At 43.0% G+C, this 20,467-nt stretch overlaps 1 protein-coding gene across 1 annotated transcript in view; it reads right to left on the bottom strand.

Moving 5' to 3' along the window:
* The window catches only part of MERTK (MER proto-oncogene, tyrosine kinase), a 130,955-nt gene that overhangs the window by 17,097 nt on the left and 93,391 nt on the right, over nt 1-20,467 (bottom strand). Inside the window, exons 9-15 of the mRNA NM_006343.3 lie at nt 18,061-18,214; nt 14,989-15,142; nt 11,179-11,264; nt 9,278-9,373; nt 8,481-8,561; nt 3,990-4,082; nt 2,399-2,517 (exon numbers count right to left, since the gene is read on the bottom strand). Of these exons, the coding sequence (NP_006334.2) occupies nt 2,399-2,517; nt 3,990-4,082; nt 8,481-8,561; nt 9,278-9,373; nt 11,179-11,264; nt 14,989-15,142; nt 18,061-18,214 (783 nt within the window). The remainder of the gene's footprint in view (nt 1-2,398; nt 2,518-3,989; nt 4,083-8,480; nt 8,562-9,277; nt 9,374-11,178; nt 11,265-14,988; nt 15,143-18,060; nt 18,215-20,467) is intronic.

Below are 20,467 nucleotides of genomic sequence, written 5' to 3'. Positions count from 1 at the left end.
AAAGGCACCCTGCATCCAGAGATGTTATAATGAACAAGCCAAGAAGAGGGGACTCCAAAAACAAGAAGCTTCTCTGACAGCACATGGGGCCCAAACATCTTTTAGAAGGAATGTGGCTTCCCTGACATGAAGATGCTCAATGACTGGGTGTGGGGGTGGGGGGGAAGTGAATGCACATTTCTGTGTGTGGCTTCCCTGACATGAGGATGCTCAGTGACTGATGTGGGGGGCGGGGGGAAGGGAATGCACATTTCTCTGCACAATCCCTCCTTCTAAACAGCAGACCCCACAGCATATGGGGCTTCATATTCCAATCACCACCTCTGATCTATCTGCCAACATTCTCCAGGTTACTGAAACGAAGAAGTCCTGGCCCTGCCACCATGAGGTTCTGCATCTGTGCGCAGACACCACACCCCCCAGTCTAGTTACCTTGCACACTTCCTGCCCCTATGCCCCCACTGGGCTCTGCCTGGCCCACTGGGCATTTGAGCCCCTGTGCTCCTGGTGCCCATAGCTCCCTCACTGTGAATAACCAATTGTCTGTCTCCTGTTCTCCTCTCACTCACCACCAGCAGCTCAGCTCCATGGGGCAGGAACCACATCTGTCATGTTCCCTCCAGTGTCCCCAGAGCTCAGTGCCCACCTTAGAGTCAGCACTTGTTCACAGAGTGAACTAATGAACTTAATAAACCTTGTTTTTTTTATTTTTTTCAGATGGAGTCTCACTCTGTCGCCCAGGCTGGATTGCAGTGGCGTGATCTTGGCTCACTGCAACCTCAGCCTTCCTAGTTCAAATGATTCTCCTGCTTCAGCCTCCCAAGTAGCTGGGATTACTGGTGCCTGCCACCACACCTGGCTAATTTTTGTATTTTTTCATGAGAGATGGGGTTTCACCATGTTGGTCAGGCTGGTCTCGAACTGACCTCAAGTGATTCCCCCGCCTCAGCCTCCCAATGTGCTGGGATTACAGGCATGAGCCACCGCACCTGGGCAGAACTTAATAAACTTCCTTTGGTTAATAGTTTGTGAGTGAGTCCCATGGCACTGCTTCACTTGGAAAAGCGACCTGGCTGACCCTAGGCCACTGTCACCCCAGGTTTGTAGATACAGGGGAGTGTGCAGAACTCCACCACACTGGTGCTGCATGGGACATTTTCCCCTGTGTTTTGTCTGCAGAGCCAGTGGGAGTGAGTTTTCATGGTCCCTAAGAACTAATTTCCTTGCACTTTCATCCTGTGGACTCATCAGACCATCAAGCAAGAGCAGCAAGAATTCTTTCCTGGAGCCATCGCTGATGCAGTGAAGGAAGCAGTTGTTCCTAATTGCACCACTGCACTCAGCGGTCCTCATACTGATGGCAGCTAAAGGGACAAAGGTGGGGTGTGTCCGAGAATGCCAAGGTGTAGACTGGGTGGTTCGGTTCCTTCCCAGGACCTGTGGTTTCTTACAGCTGTGATTAAGGGCAGTGATGATCTGGAGTGACTTTTGCCTTTTGCCCAGTCAGAGAATGACTGTTGACAGAGGCCAGCCACACCCTGTTCCCACATGTGTCCCAACCAGAACCCCGCAGGATCGCTGCCTTTTGCAACAGAGAAGATGCGTGCAAGGCAGGAAGGGGCGTCCTGCTTAGCTGGGCATGTAGTCAGGACACACACCGCCTGCTCGCAGTCTACCGTTTGTCCACAAAACATAACAGGAGGATACTGTTTTTGTTTCAGATAAGGAGGCCTAGGAAATGAAAGATACAATGTCCCCAGTGGCTATGATTCCTTAACGCTACAGCCCTCAAAGTCAATACTGAAAATTGACCCTGAAGAAAGGCAAGCGTCTCCATGGTCCTAAATTTCCTAGATGATCCGTAACTGCCTCTACAGCTACATCCAACATTCCCAGGGCTTCACAGTGCTCATGGTGGGTAAGTCAACATAGGGAGTAAAATGTTACAAACAGTTTTCAGAATGTCAGTTGTGCAGTCTTCTTGGTCACCAACACTTCTTCAAAGGTTGAAATCCAGAATGAGCTCTGTAAAATTTCTTTTAGGAGAGCCACCTTCAATGGCCTTCCCATAGTCTGCAAGCTCTGGGGAGTATGCGGCCATGAGGGTTGTGAAGTGCAGAACCAGGAGCCTGGGCCACCCAACTCAAGTTGGTAAGGCTTTGTCCATAAGACTGTGCACGCAGCCACTTACCCACCATAAAGCAGGATAATAATACCTGGAGCAGGCCTGCTGTGAGGATAGACCCCACATTTCAACCCTGGACACACAGGGAGCACTGAACAAAAGTCAACGTCCTCTCCTTCCTGGCTTCACTTTCAAGATTAGATGATTTGGTTGTCCTGGCTAAGTCACATAAGCCCTGAGAAGTGTTCAGGGGTAACACAAGGAGATCATTACCTTTGGTCCTGTCTCCAATCGGGAATAAAGTAAGTAAGTATGCAGGTCCCCGTATTTCATGAAGGGTAAAATTACCATGGGCTTTGGGATGCCTTGAGAGCTCATTTCTATACACACACCTGAAATTACAAACACAGCATCAATTACAAAGAGTCCTTGTTACTGTGACCAGAAAAGCCCTCGTGGACCACTGGAAAAACTGAAGCCGTGTGTTACCAAGTTAACAGTTTGAAAAAATCAAGAGCGCCTAACTCACACTCTGTTCTAGAAAATGGAACACACACAGGGTCCACTACTGGTATTTTTCCCCCTTTCAGATTAATGAGGGCATGAGGGCTGTCACAAATTAAACTGTAACAAGTATAGCCATCTAGAAACCTAGGAATTTCTGTTCCACTGAGTCTGAGGGGTAGTGACCCCATAAGATTTTTGTTTCAGATAAGGAGGCCTAGGAAATGAAAGACACAATGTCCCCAGTGGCTATGATTCCTTAACGCTACAACCCTCAAAGTCAATACTGAACTAGTATTGAACTAGGGCGAACTAGTTTCATGTGATAGATATTTAATCACGTGAAGAAGTCCACTGCAAATGCTTAAACTATTACAATAACTTTGAAGGGCTATAGGTAAAATTCACATCCCTAAATTTTAACAGTTTTGCAAAAGAGAAGCTATAATATCATTTATCATGGAATCTGAGAGCCAGAGGCTATCACCTGATCCCATGCTTGCAAAGCTCCTGCACTCTGTGGTGTGATCACAAAGTGCAATTGTTCTCATAGTCGGCTGAAGCCAATAGCAGTGAATGAATAACAGTAGCTTATTTGACATAATACTGTATACAAACATTGATTTTCACATCTCTCTGCAGTGCCAATCATATGAAACTTTGAAAGATCCCAAAAGAACTTAGCATGTATGCAGTCACAGGATGGCAAAGCAAAAACAAAACACCAAGGTCAGCAGAAAATTCAATTATTTCCAGGTTACTCTTCTCTCTTGGGACAGAGCCACTTACACAGCATCCACTCCATACTTAATCTCCTCTTTTGTAATTTTTGGCTAATGGAGCTGCAAAGCCAAATTACGTTAAATCATGTTCTATGGAACTGTTAAATCATATTCCATGAAATCATCAATGTATCATGATCTTAAGAAATCAGTACTTTCAAACAGGTTAATAAATTATTTCTCAAAGATAAACCTACGGAATTTGCCTACTTTTTCACCTTTATCCCACTGCTATCTAACTCATGCATAACCTTAAATTAATAAAAATTATAACACAACCACCTCTGTGTCTTGCCTTTGAGTAACTGAGGACAATTTAATTCACACTCTCCTAGAATTCTGTGGAAAACTCAAATCATTCCTGAGCCTATCAGCGTCCAGAAAATGCAAACTCATTATTACTATTAGCCTCAGAAAACATCATTATGAAGAAAAGTCTGGGTGAAAACCTCAATGTTATAAGTTATGTTGGGGTTATACGAAGTGTAAACTTATCTACACCAGAGATTTTTTCCTTTGGCACAGAGCAGATCAGCAGAGCCCTCTTGGCCACCCACTCCTGCATTTCTCGGAAGTACCTAGAAGTCGAATGACATTTGGGTGGCTGAAGTCTTTCATGCACGCTGCCTCACTGAGAAACTCCTCGATCTCCCGCTGTGAAGAGTTGTCCACTAGAGGAGAAAATAGAAAAGGTTAAGTATGGATAATTTACTCAATTAAGGGGAGTGGGTGGGCAACAGCAGTTCTGTTCTCTAAAACCCAGGTCAGGAAGAGATGAAAGTATAGAGACAGGAAACAGATGAGTGGTTGTCAGGGGCTAGTAGGGCTAGGGGAGATAAGAGAGGGGCAAACAGGCAAAGCACAGGGGACTTTTGGGGCCAAGAAATAATTCTGTATGATACTATAATGATGGATGCATGACACTACACATTTGTCAAAACCCACAGAGCTGTATAACACCAAGAGTGAACCCTAATGTAAAATATGGACTCTGGTTAATAATAATGTATCAGTATGGGTTCATCAATTGCAAAAAATGCAGCTCACTAATAAAAGACATTAATAATAGGAGAAATTATGTGTGTCAGGAGGGGACCTATGGGCATTCTCTGTACTTTCTGCCCAATTTTTCTGCAAACCTGAAACTGCTCTACAAAGTTAAAGTCTAATGGTAAAGAAAAAAAATTCCAAAAAAAAAACCCCAACACCAAAACAAAGAACAATTCTAACTGATCTGTTGCAATTATATTTGCTTTTTTTAAAAAAAGAAAGAACCCCACACCTCTCTGTTTCTATTGTTGTATGTCCTGCAAGTCTGGTTGCTCAACCACGCCTTGTGAGTTGGATGCATTTTCATACCAAATTTTTTGAATTAAACTGGCTTAAGAGAGAGACATTTAAAATTCTGTATTATGCTAAGTGAAACAAGCCTGTCACAAAAGGATGAATACTCTATGATTCCACTTACATGAAGTACCTAGAGAGTCAAAATCAGAGACAGAAAATAGAATAGTGCTTGCCAGGGCTGGGGAGAAAGGGTAGTGGGGAGTCATTGTTCGGTAGGTGTAGAGGTTCAGTTTTGCAAGATGAAAAGTCTTGGGGCTGGGCGCAGTGGCTCACGCCTGTAATCCCAGCACTTTGGGAGGCTGAGGTGGGTGGATCACGAGGTCAGGAGATCGAGACCATCCTGGCTAACAAGGTGAAATCCTGTCTCTACTAAAAATACAAAAAATTAGGCGGGCGTGGTGGCGGGCGCCTGTAGTTCCAGCTACTTGTGAGGCTGAGGCAAGAGAATGGCCTGAATCCGGGAGGCGGAGTTTGCAGTGAGCTGAGATCGTGCTACCGCACTCCAGCCTGGGCAACAGAGCGAGACTCCGTCTCAAAGAAAAAAAGAAAAGAAAAGTTTTGGAGATGGATGGTAGTGATGGTTGTATAACATTATGAATATGGTTCTTAATACCACTGAATTGTACACTTAAAATGGTTAAAATGGTAAATTTTATATTATGTATATGTTGCCACAATTAAAAACAAATAAAAAGTCTGGCTTGCCTTAGGGAATTTGCGTTAACAGGGTAAAACTACTGATTAAAATCATGCATGAGGGCATCTAATGCAGTGTCTATACCATCCTATTGGCTTAATATATATTAATCTTCTTTCTACTGAAGGAAATTTAGAAAAATTTAAAAATTTTTCTAATTAAAAGAAAATCTATACATCTGCAAAAATTTGCCCTCACCTATTCCTTTTGCTGCAAACAACCAGGTGGGGGAATACAGGGGTAGGGCTCTGCCTGCAGACTATTCCCCAGGGGTCCAACCTGCAGGTAAATGTAGCTGAGCCTGGGGATTTTGAAGCTAGAGATTATACTCTCAATCTTTGACAATTAGCAGGGGTGTAATCCCTATGCAATTTACCCTAATGAAATTAAATAACTGCAGAGTCAAGCCAGAGAAAAAGTGGGTTCCAGGCCCAGCTCCTCCCACCAGGCCTCCTAATATACCTGCCTTATATCCCTAATAGGAATTATGGAAGGACTCCCCACAGATGCACTGTGAGGCTCAGATAAAATCATACAAGAGGCAGGAACAGTGCAGAATATGGCTCAGTGCTTGGTTCAGCTCCAGTGAGTATTCTAACTTCAGGGTGTTTTAGTTTCTGGGGGCTAGTTCCTGAACCTCCTTTTTAGTTATGTTCATTTTCTCTTCCTGTTGTCCTGATGAAATACAGGAATAACTGCAATGTCCTTTGGCTAACAGTGAGTATTACATAAATATTAGTCATTATGGTCTACTTAAAAAGTACCGGTTCATGTGACTTGTTGGTTATTGTGGTTCCTTTTTATAGCTGAATTAAGCTTCAGCCTCCAGGCCAGGCGTGGTAGCTCACGGCTGTAATCCCAGCACTTTGGGAGGCCAAGGTGGGCGGATTACTTGAGGCCAAGAGTTCAAGACCAGCCTGGCCAACATGGTGAAACCCCATCTCTAGAAAAAAATACAAAAATTAGCCAGGCATGGTGGTGCATGCCTGTAATCCCAGCTACTCAGGAGGCTGAGGCAGAAGAATTGCTCGAACCCAGAGGCAGAGGTTGCAGTGAGCCGAGTTCATGCCACTGCACTCCAGCCTGGGCGACAGAGCAATACTCTGTCTCAAAAAGAAAAAAATAAATAAACTTCAGCCTTTTCATTTAAGAGTCTCAGTACATGCTTACAATCTAACTTATGCTTTAATGTCCAGTAAATAGTGGATTTAAATTTTAGGAAGAATCCAATTTTACTTTATTCCCTGATCAAAAATAGTATTGAATAGGTACAAGGGGTTAATAAGGAAGCAACATCAAGAATATTGACAAACTGAGCACCAAATAATCTCCATCCATGATTCATGATGAAGACTGGGTGAAATGCCACGTGACCACGACCTATTTTCTAAGTTCCCCAGTGATAGGCCATGCCCAGCCAGACACCTATAGAATCAAACTTATACAGCTGTGTGGCCCCAGCTCCAGAAATGCACTTCCTGGAAGAAGGACATGGAGAGGAAATGCTGCCTTGCTCTGCCAGTGAAATCTGGTCATCTTATGGTAATGAAGAAGCCCAGCACAACCTGCCCCCTTTCTAGCTATTTCAATTAGACAAGTCAGCAAGTCACTATAGTTTCCTTAACTATATAGATTTTAAGCTGGGTGAAGTGGCTCATGCCTGTAATCCCAGAACTTTGGGAGGCCAAGGCAGGTGGATCACTTGAGGTTAGGAGTTCGAAACCAGCCTGGCCAACATGGAGAAACCCCATCTTCTCTACTAAAAATTCAAAAATTTAGCCAGGCGTGTTGGTGGGTGCCTGTAATCCCAGCTACTCAGGAGACTGAGGCGGGAGAATCACCTGAACCCAGGAGGTGCAGGCTGCAGTGAGCCAAGATGGCGCCACTGCACGCCAGCCTGTGTGACACAGTGAGACTCCATCTCAATTAAAAAAAAAAGAAAGTATTTGAGAGGGCCTAGACTGCATAGATTTTACAGTGTCCTAACTGGCATCTACCACTATTTTTGTCAACACTGTAATTTGTTCTCCTCCACACTGACATCAAAGTGAACTTTCTGGAATTTAACCTGCTCTATTCTTCATTTGGCTAAGACTCTTTTTTTTTTTGAGACGGAGTCTCACTCTGTCACCCAGGCTGGAATGCAGTGGTGTGATCTCGGCTCAATGCAACTTCCGCCTCCCGAGTTCAAGTGATTCTCCTGCCTCAGTCACCTGGGATTACAGGTGTGTGTCACCACGCCCGGCTAATTTTTGTATTTTTAGTGGAGACGGGGTTTCACCAAGTTGGTCAGGCTGGTCTCAAACTCCTGACCTTGTGATCTGCCCGCCTCAGCCTCCCAAAGTGCTGGGATTCCAGGCGTGAGCCACCGTGCCCGGCTGGTTAAGCCTCTTAATAGCGCTCTACTCCTTGCAGGATAAAGCAGGTTCTTGGCTGTGACTTACAAGACTCTCCCTGTCTCACTGCTGGCTCTCTTCCCAGCTTGCTTGGAAGTTCTAGCTTATGATAGCAACTCTTCATATGCCTTGACCAAATATTTCTCCTCTTTCTGGGGAACTTACTTGCCAGGCAGCCCGCAGCTTCCTCAGGGCCATGCAATCATCCTCAAATGAGGAAGTGGCCCCACCACACTAGACAGGCCGGCCAGAACAACCCCTGGGGTCAGATGTTGCTATTAGATCACCCCTGCCTCAGCAATTGATGCTCTACTTTGGAGTTGTTAGCTCTACTAGATGAGAGTGAGAGAAAGAGAGACAGTGAGAGAAGGAGAGAGAGCAAGACAGACAGTATGTATGCATAGGCATGCAGGAGTTAGTAAAAATAAAAAATGTTATTGCCTTGAGTATAAAGAATATGTAATGCATGCATGAAGAGCTCATTAAAGTAAGTCCCCCTTGGTGACCAGTGTTCCACATTGCCTTCTGGCCCACTGGGAACTGAGATTGTGACATATGGCCTCATGGAGCACCCAATACTGAAGCAACTGCCCACCCTAGAAGAATGGGATTCATCACTGATAACTCACACTTCATGGTCTTCACTGCCACTTTCAGAGAGGTCCCATCTTCCTGCTTAAGATTTCCTTCCATTACAGACCCAAACTCTCCTGTGAAGTGAAAGAACACCTGTATGGACACTGTGCAAACTCTTCCCTGACCACAGAAATGCTACAGTGCCAGAGCTGCTGGTTTCATGTGGTATGAGAGCAACTCACCCACGGGCAGCCAGGCAGAGCCTGCCCAGGCCACCCACATCGCAAACCAGGGTGATGCGCCACGCTCTAGTCTCCTGCTTGTCACGAGCTTGGGTGGCTTGGGCCTACCTTTGCTCATCACTTTATTAAGCATTATAACCAATCCAAGACACTTAGAAGAGAACATGAAAAATATTATTGAAGTTTTTAAAGCACAAACTTTTAATACCATTATCATTCATCCTAAGAACAACTTAACAAGTTAAATACGTATTTTCATTTTTGTTCCTAATTAGAAAGGTGCCAAGAACAATGAACTTAAGAACTAGAGGAATAAACTTAAAGTACATAGGAAACTACTCAATGAATTACATGCTTTTCAATGAAGAAAGAAAATTAATATTTTTCAAGGACCTGTATGTGCTAGGCATTGAAGAGAATCTTTTCATGTGCCAGATCTGAGTTTCAAAAATCAATAGTCTATCATTTTAAATAATAAAATATAACTATCCATAGTATAACTCAGAGTCCTGAGATGCTATTTTATTTAATAAATATATGTTAAAGAATTATTCTAAACTGCTACCTTCTTATCCCACATTTTAAAAGAATTACTTTAAATTGCTTACCTTCACCCAGAATTTTTCCAAGAATTAGAAGATTCCTGTCAATCACAACATCTTCTAGTTTATTTTGTAGTTCCTCACTGACTCCCAAGCTATGTACTGAAAAAGGAGTAACATAGTATGTACAAAAATTGTCAGCGTGTTTTCTTTCACTTGATAATTAAAATGAAATAAAGTCCTGTATAATAAAACATTCCTTATTTATTTATTTATTTATTGAGCCAGAGTCTAGCTCTGTTGCCCAGGCTGGAGTGCAATGGTGCAACCTTGGCTCACTGCAACCTCTGCCTCCTGGGTTCAAGCGATTCTTGTGCCTCAGCCTCCCAAGTAGCTGGGACTGCAGGCATGCACCACCACACCCAGCTAATTTATGTATTTTCAGTAGAGACGGGTTTTATCATCTGGGCCAGGCTGGTCTCGAACTCCTGACCTCAAGTGATCTACCCACCTCGGCCTCCCAAAGTGCTGGGATTACAGGTGTGAACCACCATAGCCGGCCCCTTTTTTCATTTTGTATCTATTATTTCTCTCCCAAAAATGCCAGTAATAAAATTTCATACTTTAGAATGATTAAACTAAGTATAATGAATCCTTCAGGGCAAGGTTAATTCTGAAGAATTACAAAAATCAGAACCACATTTCTCATTCTGTTGTGTGGTAGCAGCAGCCGGTAATCAGATTCATGTAGGGGTGGTTTGCCTTTGACTTAAAGGGGTAAGGAAGATAAGTCAATAGGTAATTTCTGGTGAATTCTTTACTATTAATATTATACCCTTGACTACAGTATACAAAAGAACCACACGTCCCCTACCCTCCCATGCCATGGACGGAGTCTCACAAACCACAGGAAACATCTAGAGAATAAGCTCTTATTTTACATACTGTATATGAAACCTATTATAACAGCATAGCAAGGGCTAAATTGAGCACTTTGAGGAATTGGAGAAAAAGATTTTTCTATAATAAAATATATAATATAGTAAGGTATATAATAGATGAGTCATGTTGGCAACAAGAGAAATTAACCAGAAGGGGACCAGTTCAACAACTCTTGGCAAATGATTCAGTCTGGACCACAGTTAAGGCATGAACAAGCTCTTGAAAGATCAAAAAAATGTGGATAATTAGGACACATTAGTTCTCAGAGAAAAAGCTTTATCCAGTGGTTCTCCAATAAAGGAAAGAAAGTGGTCTAAATGACAAATTTTAAAATTTTAAATTAAAAAAAAAATTGAGGATATCTAAAAGTCAAAACTTACAGACTAGAAAGGTAAAGAAATTAATAATATTCTACACCAAGCAAGTTTCTATTTCATAGCAACCTGTATTCTGTCATTCTTATCTATTTTCTTTATTGGGGGCAAACATCCAGAAGCATGAATTTGTTAATATTTGCATGTCCTTTCTATACTTTTTCTGAAATTATTCAGGAACACTAGTGTCTGTTTATTTCCGCTGTTTAAACCAGAAGCCCCCACTCTCTGATTCAGCAAAGCTCAAACCATAATTACTATAAAGCATGTTGGCAAATCATCCTCGGAGTTGGTTGCCAGGAAAACAGGAAATGAGGCTTGAGATTATGTTCACTAGTTAGAAGTTTTCTTTAAATCCCTGGCCTCTACCCATCTTCTGTCACCCTAGAAGGTTCCTCTTTTCTGCCACATTTCATGACATTGTGAGTCCTTTTAACCCCAGGTCAAGCTCCTGATTGCAGTAAATTAGCCCACAGAGCTGTGCATGGCAATGTCTGGCTATCTACTTGCTGCTTTTAAAGACATTTTGTACATTAAAAATATCCATTCTTCTTCGACATCTTTGGCTTTTGTTAGAAATCTGTCTATTGATCCTTCTTTGTTCTCAACTATTTTAACTTTTGCCAAAAAGGGAAATGAAAGTCAACTTACAGGTAAGTTCAATGGCTCGCCGACAGAAGGATTTCTTTGCTATATAATTCACCACTAATTCAGAATCCTCCTCTGTGAATGCATTCCTGGGTGAATGAAAACAAAGATACTTCACTATAAAAACAGGGCTACTGGGGCAGGCACTGATTCCACAAGGATGCTACAGAGCTTCCGCTTTTCAATGGGCTCTTCTACAACAAAAGCTTTCCCCCTAGAAGAAACGTGTTTCTTTCCTTTGATTTATTTTAGACTTACTTGGCAATATTGAAACTACTCTAGCCAGGTACCGCCAAGAACAGAGAATAACAGATAAGCTCCCAGTGGCCAAAGCTGTAACAGTCTGAGCAAGAAACTAAAGTAATACTAGACTATGAGTATAAAATGAATATCCATAAGTCTATACTTATGAAAATATGATTGAATGAATGAATGGAAGAAAAGACACCAATCTCCTGTGGTGAAGAATTCCAAATATTTTATGTAGCTAGTAAGGGGTGGAGGGAGTTAAACCCTCATGCTGTCAATATGGGCTATGCATAGTGACTTGCTTCCAAAGAACAGTAGGGAAAGGGAGAAAAAATAACTTCATGGTAGAGAAACCCAGCAAATACTACTTCAGCCAGGTGATCAATGTCAACATCAACAGTGATACATCATGTTAATATGCACCCTTGATAAGAAGTGATGACAATGGCATTTTAATTCTGTGCTCCTCCTCTCAATCACCCATAACCCCTGCTCATTATCAGCAAAACATCGAACACATTGCAATAGAGGGGCATCCTACAAAACACCCGACTAACACTTCTGAAAACTGGCAAGATCATCAAAGACAAGGAAGGTCTAAGAAATGGCCACAGCCAAGAGGAGCCTAAGGAGATGTGATGACTGACTGTAAAATGTGGCATCCTGGAAGGGATCCCAGAACACTAAAGGGACATTAGGTGAAAATTAAGGAAATCTCAAGAAAGTAGAGATGTTAGTTAATGACAATGGATCAATATTGGCTCATTAACTGTAACAAATGTATTGTACTAATTGTCAGGACCCTGAGCCCAAGCTAAGCCATCATATCCCCTGTGACCTGCACGTATACACCCAGATGGCCTGAAGCAACCGAAGATCCACAAAAGAAGTGAAAATAGCCAGTTCCTGCCTTACCTGATGACATTCCACCATTGTGATTTGTTCCTGCCCCACCCTAACTGATCAATTGACTTTGTGACAATACACCCTCCCTGCCCTTGGGATAATGTACTTTGTGGTATTCCCCCACCCTTGCGAATGTACTTTGTATGATACACCCTCCCTACCCTTGAGAAGGTACTTTGTAATATTCTCCCGGGCCCTTGAGAATGTACTTTGCAAGATCCACCCCCTGCTTACAAAAAATTGGTCCTCCAGTGGATATTGGATATTGGATAACTCCACTGCCTATACCAAACCTGTAAGAACTAATGATAATTCCACCATCCTTTGCTGACTCCTTTTTCGGACTCAGCCCACCTGCACCCGGGTGATTAAAAAGCTTTACTGCTCACACAAAACCTGTTGGTGGTCTCTTCACATGGACACGTGTGACACTAATAATGTAAGCTGTTAATAATAGGGGAAACTAGGTATGGAGCATATGAGAAATCTCTGTACTATCTTCTCAATGTTTCTGTAAAATTAAAACTGTTCTAAAAAATAAGGCTGGGATTCATGCCTGTAATCCCAGCACTTTGGGAAGCTGAGGCAGGAGGATCACTTGAGCCCAGGAGTTCAAGACCAGCGAGGGAAACAAAGTGAGATGCCTCATCTCTATAAAAAGTAAGAAAATTAGCCAGACATGGTGGTATGTGACTGTGGTCCCAGCTAATCGGGAGGCTGAGATGGGAGGATCACTTGGGTTCTGGAGGACAAGGCTGCAGTGAGCCATGAATGCACCACTGCACTCCAGCCTGGACGACAGAGCAAGATCCTGTCTCAAAAAAATAAATTAATTTTAAAAATAAAAAATGAAGTCTATTTTAATAATCCATTTAGTCACTGTTTTAGACTAATTGGTGGGAAAGTATTATGAATTTGAAAGTCTAGATTACAGATTTAATCTCAAGTTACCTTAGGTACATAGATTATTTTAAAGAGATAACACAATTTTGAAAAAAATACTGATGTACACAAAGCAAAGCACTTGGAAAGACGTATGCCAAAATAGCAACCAACACCATCTATGGGCCTGAAATGGGCCTCACTTTCTCCTTTTGACTATTCGATATAATCTGATTTTTAAAAAAATATAATGTTACTTTTATAAGTAAAAATAAAAGTATTTTCATTTAAAAATGAGCTGGAAAGTGGTTTTACAAAAGGAACAAATGAATAGATCTTGTAGTAAGGATCCATGGGAACTGACTTCGACATAGATAACAATAACCTGTTACAAGTCTTTCATTTGTTTTAAGCTTCTGCTGAGTTTAATGGTTCCTGGAAATAGTTTTATTTCTAAATATTTGAAATAGTATTGTAATCTTGTTAATATATTTGCTGTACTCAGCAGCCCCACTTTTTGGTAATGTGGCATGTGCTGCTCCTTCTGGCTGTAATGCTCTTCTTCTCTCTCATCTAATGAATACCTGCTCTTTCTTCAGATCTTAGCTCTGGTGTCAGCCACTTCTGCACAAAGGCCTTCCCTGACTTTCTTAATGCAGCCAAATTTTTCTGACACATTCTTACCCCTTTATATAGAATGTATTACAGTTGCCATTTTTAATCTATTTTGTGACTGCTTGACTACTGCCTGACTCCCCATGAACTGTGAACCCCATGAGGGCAGGATTTTGTTCACCACTGTATTCCAGGCTACCGCAGTGCCCAGTGCCTAGCAGGCCTTTAATACATATTAATGAGCTACTCTTGCAGCTTCTGCAGAGGTTCTCTGTACTTGTTTTATGATGAACCCACATGTCACACCAAGATCCTGGGATGTATTTTAGTCAATTATATGTTCAAGATTTAGATCAGATTTTGTCCACTTCTTTAAAATAGTCATTCTTAGAATTCACATACTAAGGTATAACAATTGTAAGAATAGGCTTATAAAGACTAAAGTAACTGACCCCTAAGACTGGGATGAACACAAATAAAGCGTAGCCTGGCTGCCAATCTTAAGCCCTTCCCACGCCTATGGCAAGTCTTGGAGCGAGTGGGATGTTCTAGTAGCATTCTGAAGGTGGAGCAATGAAAGAGGGAGGCTCAGCCCCCTCCAAAGTATAGCCATACACCCCTCACTCATTCTGTCCCACTCCAACCTGCCAACAACCCTCCTGGGTTCAAGCAATTCCTGTGCCTCAGCCTCTAAAGTAGCTGGGATTACAGGCGTGTGCCATCATGCCCAGCTAATTTTTGTATTTTCTGTAGAGATGACATTTTGCCATGGTGGCCAGGCTGGTCTCAAACTCCTGACCTCAAGTGATCCGCCTGCCTTGGCCTCCCAAAGTGCTGGGATTACAGGTGTGAGCCACCGCACTCGGCCTATTTTTAAGGCTTCTAATAAAAGTCCTCACTTAACAGCAATCCAGTTTGAGTAGCAAAGGCCTACTGATACTCTTCTCTGTAAAGGAACCCTTTTCAGGCCTGGCTTTTGCTGGCAGCTGCTTCTGTAGACCATGGCGTAAGTCAGGAAGCTGCCTGAGCCCAGGGTATGCATAAGGCAGGGCAGCCATCTGGGAGCAATGTAAGCAGCTGGCCCAACAGGAAAGGCATAATCACTTGGTATAACAACCTTGTCAATACCAGTGGGCAAACATTTTTAGCTGGGAGACTTACCCAAACTTTGTCTCCTGGACTCTTTTTCTGATGGCCAAGGAGATGTATAAAATCAACCCAATCAAAATAAATCCACAAAAGCAGCCAAAGATGATGAGCACAGGATCTGCGTTGCCAGGCGCCGGAGTTGAAGAGGGGGCATAATCTACCCAACCTGGTGAGATACCAATAGACCAGTCATGGGTTTGAAATATATGAGAAACACTGGCTTGTAACAGGGAAGAACAAATAGTCAAAGCTTTCAGAACTCAGTTAAATCTTTTATAATCTACAAATATAGGCAGGTCTCACTTTGTGTAAGCTGAGACCATGCGAAGAGATCTTAATAACTGATGGGAAACTAGCTTGATTTACTCATTCCATAACATATACATAGATCAAAATGTCACACTGTACTCCACAGGTATATACAATTTTTCAATTATTAATTAAAAATAGTAATTTTAAAATCAATGAGAAAACTCATGTCATTATACACGTACAAGAAAATAACAAAATTACAACTAATATTTACTTCTACTGTAGTTTAAAATGTTAGAAACATGAAAAATTAAAGTGTCATTTCTTTGTAAAAAAACGATCGAGAGTAGGTTAAATAGTTTGCCTTCTAGTCATGTAACTTATGATACAGAGAAAATATAGTTTCTCTGTTTTGAAGAATTGTCACATTCCTTTCTAAGTTTGGATCGACTGCTAATGTTTTAGCTTTTGTTCTTTCAATGTTGTAAAATATCTCCCAGTATTCCTTCAATGCTGTTTTTTGACAGTGTCGCTTTCTCTGGGACATTTTCAACCTTTTTGTCACAACCTCTTGATGTATGTGCATAAGTTCACCTTCACTAAGGACCGCTGGTTCACATCAGCAGGGGCAGTTATCAACTTCCCACAGTCTTGCATTCAATTCAAATTTTACGTTGAACACTATCACTTTGCATTTCTTTACTGCACTTTTACCTTTGTTCACCAACTCCCTCTTTCAATTACCCATTTTTGTAAAATGTCATGTGGGTTTGTCCCTGGGAGACAAGGAGGCAACACAGCCACATGTCTCCGCAAGGTGGGCACAAAAAGAATGACAAGGGCGCAGTGACCGATCACAACAGCCTTTGAAAGAAATGATGCCGTTGGTCATGATAGGATGTGCATCTGTTATTTCTACGATGGTTGGTGGCCTGAAGAGCCAGCAGCCCGAGTTTATGCTTTATGCCATTATGGTTAATATAGAATGGTAACTAAAATTGGAACTATATTTTTGGGGAATGGGTGTTATTTAACTGTGGTAATTGAAATTTGTGCATACTGGAGCCCTGCAAGGTAAGGACTGCCTGCATAGCAAACATGGCTTCCCCACGTTGGCCAGGTTGGTCTGGGACTCCTGACCTCAAGTGATCCAACTGCCTCGGCCTCCGAAAGTGCCGGGATTATAGGCATGAGCCACTGCGCCCAGCCTAAACTCCAATTTTTTTAAGCTGTCCCTTTAGAATCAGAATCTCATTGTCTTTGTTCTTGTTTTGTTTTGTTTTGTTTTGGAGATGGGGGTCTCACTCTGTCACCCAGCCAGGAGTACAATGGTGTGATCTTGGCTCACTGCAACCTCCACCTCCTGGGCTCAAGCTATCCTCCCAAGTAGCTGGGACCACAGGCGCATGCCACCACACCCTGCTAATTTTTGTTGTTGTCGTTATTTTAGATAGAGATGGGGTTTCACCATGTTGGCTAGGCTGGTCTTGAACTCCTGAGTTCAAGTGATCTGCCTGCCTTGGCCTCCCAAAGTGTTGGAATTACAGGCGTGAGTCACTGCGTCCAGCCAGAATCTCAGGGTCATTGAATTTCTACCAGGTAGACACATCTTGCCTCCCCATCACCAGTTACTAATGTTTCCCAGAAACTGTGCCTATGTGCTGCAAGAACGTAATATGGTTCCATTTCAGCACCAAAAGGGAGAGCAAGTTTCAGTGTCACTGGGAACAGACAGGTGGGAACTCAATCATTTGCTCACAAGTTCTGTCTGCTATTGGGTACAAAGGTCATGTTTGGCAAAAACTTAATGTATAAGCACACTGATCTAGATGCCTATGCATGGACTTTATGACAGCCGTTTAACATTAAACAACCTAGGGCAGGTGAGAGTCAAACAAAGGTGGCTCCATTGGGTTATGGAGTGAGCACAGCACTTGGTTCACTTGGGGTACCACAGTGGCACCGTGCCAAAGGACATTCCAGCAACATGCAAAAGCCAACACGCATGGCTGGGCATTTAGCTCCGTGGGCCCAGGGCAGTCTGAGGATGGCTTCCATAGGAAATATTTCATGTTCCGTGCAGACCAAAGCACAAAGCATGTTACCCAAGGCTTGAATGGGTAAAAACATGGCAAAGCAGTACTATTTCAAACACAGCAAAACAAGCAACAGCAAATAAACTGTCCCAATTGTAGACAGCTAAGGGTTAGCTATATTGCCTGTCTAAAATTCAGTCATGTACAGTATACATCATTGCAACTAAGTTCAATAAGTAAAGCCAAAGTTGGCATCTGAAAAGACTAATCTTCCAAGTAAGTTATTACCATTAATAGTAACTATAGGAGGGACCTATGGGTATCAGCAGTTCTGTAAAGCATGTTATCATATCATATCTTTATCATTGGAAAAATTATTTTTGATTCTTATTTTTCCCTTCTTTTTTTTTTTTTTCTTTTTTTGAGACAGGGTCTCACTCTGTTACCTAGCTAGAGTACAGTGGTGTGATCATAACTCACTGCAATCTCTGCCTCCTGGGTTCAAGCACTTCTCCCACCTCAGCCTCCCAAGTAGCTGGGACAACAGGCATGATCCACCATGCCCAGCAAATTTTAAAAATACATATATTTTTTGTAGAGACAGGGTCTCACTATGTTGCCCATTGCCCAGGTTGTTCTCAAACTCCTCCTGCTTTTGCCTCCTGAAGTGTTGAGATAAGCCCAGCCTTATTTTTCATTCTTTAATCAGCCATCCATCCCCCAGGTTACTTTCTGGCAATCTGTGCACTGCCTGGACCATCACATCCTATCAGCCCTTACTGGGTATAGCTCTCACCGTGTGCAGGGATAAATATTTTCACTGGATCACTGAAGGGCCCAACTCCCCCTCTGGTGACGGCTGCAATCCTCACTGTGCACGTAGCATTGTGGACTTGAACAGAGATCCGAGCTCGGCTGCCATTCTGGCCAACTTCCTCCAAGAGCTCTTTCTGGAGACAGAGAGGAAGAGAGGAAATGAAAACACTGAGGTCTGGGCAAACTGCAGGTGCATCTACAGTTCCTTCTGAGGGAAGCCATCCCGCCCACGTCCGAGGCCAGAAGCCACACTTCCACAGCATTCCTTTGTCACTCAGGCCATGGCCAATGGAACCAAAAGTCAGGTAGGGACAGGATGTAACATCAAGTTTTGGGGGGCATTGGCAAGCTAGGGCCATGAGGGCATGGCACTTAGAGTGGTCCTAAAGAAGCTTCTGGAAGAGAGGGAGCACGTAGCAGATGCACCCGGACGGCAGAGCAAGCCTGACTCCTCAAGCCCTCGATCCTCAGAACCACCCACAGCACAATACGCCAGTCACACTATCCCTTGACATTGTCCACCTGCCACCTGCCCTTGAACCAGCACGAGTGGGCTCCTGTTCCTTGAAATTATTAGAATTTTGACTAAAATCTACCTGGAAGAGGGCACTGACACTTTTTTTTTTCTTTCAGTGTGACAAATGTACAACTTGCTCAATTTTCAAAACTCTGGTTTTACTTTTATTTGTATGTTATTTTAAAGTCACTGTCATTCAAATAAAGGGGAAAAAATAACCAGAACTAAGGGTTTATACAACACCTTCCTCCCCTTTTCCAAACCTCTGTAATCATAATGTTCTCTGGCGTAGGAAACTAATTTTGTGTTTGGGCTGGCTTTTCAAATGGAAATTATAGGGGTTGTGAAAGCTGAAATGAAGTTCTAGGAACATGTCTTTATCTCTGAATTTTGGAAATTTGATTGCAGAGACAGAAAGAGATCTCAGGTCATGCAGGTCACAGATGTCACAGGTCACAGATGTCACAGGTCATCAATGAACAGCAAAGGCAGTGCTATTGGTAACTTTATTTCCTGGTCACTCACTCTCAAGCCAGTCACTTTCCTAGCAATGGTGAAGGATAGAACCATCTCAACCCTTAAGGAGAGAGCAGTCCATCATTCATGACCAAGGGGGCACCTGGGTTGGCCATCCAGAGACTGTTTCTAAATTTAAACAGGCAGTGGACATCATGGCCCAGAAATGCCCCCTGCAGAAAAAAACAAGCAGTTTTCTCTGCTCCCACACCACAATAGTCAACACAGAAGGCTTCTGTGACCTCTGGTCACCAAGAAGTGTATGAGAATTTTTCCCTACCAAAAACCAATCAGTCAATTCCACAGCAGACACCAGCTGGGCATTCTCCAACCCAGTTCAATTCCAACACTATCATCTGGAGATAGTGTCAGATCCCACAGGGTGTGGGCTCAGCCCCCAAGAGTCCCCCAAGTTTCAGGCACAAATCACAAGCCCCAGGTTGTTTGACCTGTACTTCTGACTGGCTGGCTATATAAATCAGGGACCCCATGACCCCCTCCTTGAGTTTGTTTAATTTGCTAGAGTGGCTCACAGAACTTAGGAAAAGACATTCACTGGTTTATTATTTTTTTCTTTTTTCTTTCTTTTTTTTTTTTTTTTGAGACGGAGTCTTGCTCTGTCACCCAGGCTGGAGTGCAGTAGCGCTATCTCAGCTCACTGCAACCTCCACCTCCCAGGTTCAAGCAATTCTCCTTCCTCAGCCTCCTGAGTAGCTGGGACTACAGGTGCACACCACCACACCAAGCTAATTTTTGTATTTTCAGTAGAGACGGGGTTTCACCATGTTGGCCATGATGGTCTCGATCTCTTGACCTGGCGATCCACCTGCCTCAGCCTCCCAAAGTGCTGGGATTACAGGCGTGACCCACCATGCCTGGTCACTGGTTTATTATTAAGGATATTGCAGAAGATACAGATGAAGAGCTATACAGGGCAAGGCACATGGGAAGGGGTGCAGAGCTTTCATGCCCGCCCTGGGTGCACCACCCTCTGGAAACCTCCACGTATTCCACTACCTGGAAGCTCTCTGAACCCCATCCTCATGGGCCTTTCATGGAGGCTCCATTGGATAGGCGTGATTGACAACCATGTAGAACTGTGATTGGACAAAAAAGGCATGATCTAGTACTATTAGACTGAGCGAGGAAACCCAACAAGACCTATCTGTTCAGATTCTTCTTGGCCTCTCTGTGCGTGGCTCCTTCCTCCAGGGAATGGAAACAGGACTCCTTCCGAAATGTGAGTCTTATGACTTCTAATCAGATCAGGTAGGTCAAAGAATTTCTTTATGGATGAGGGCAGGGGAAAATTAGAGCCCTGCCTTGGGGAGACAGAGGAGTACATGAAAGGAGG

Source organism: Homo sapiens, chromosome 2 (genome assembly GCF_000001405.40).
Source record: "Homo sapiens chromosome 2, GRCh38.p14 Primary Assembly".
In the NCBI taxonomy this organism is placed as follows: domain Eukaryota; kingdom Metazoa; phylum Chordata; class Mammalia; order Primates; family Hominidae; genus Homo; species Homo sapiens.
This window is presented reverse-complemented; position numbering and strand designations above follow the sequence as displayed.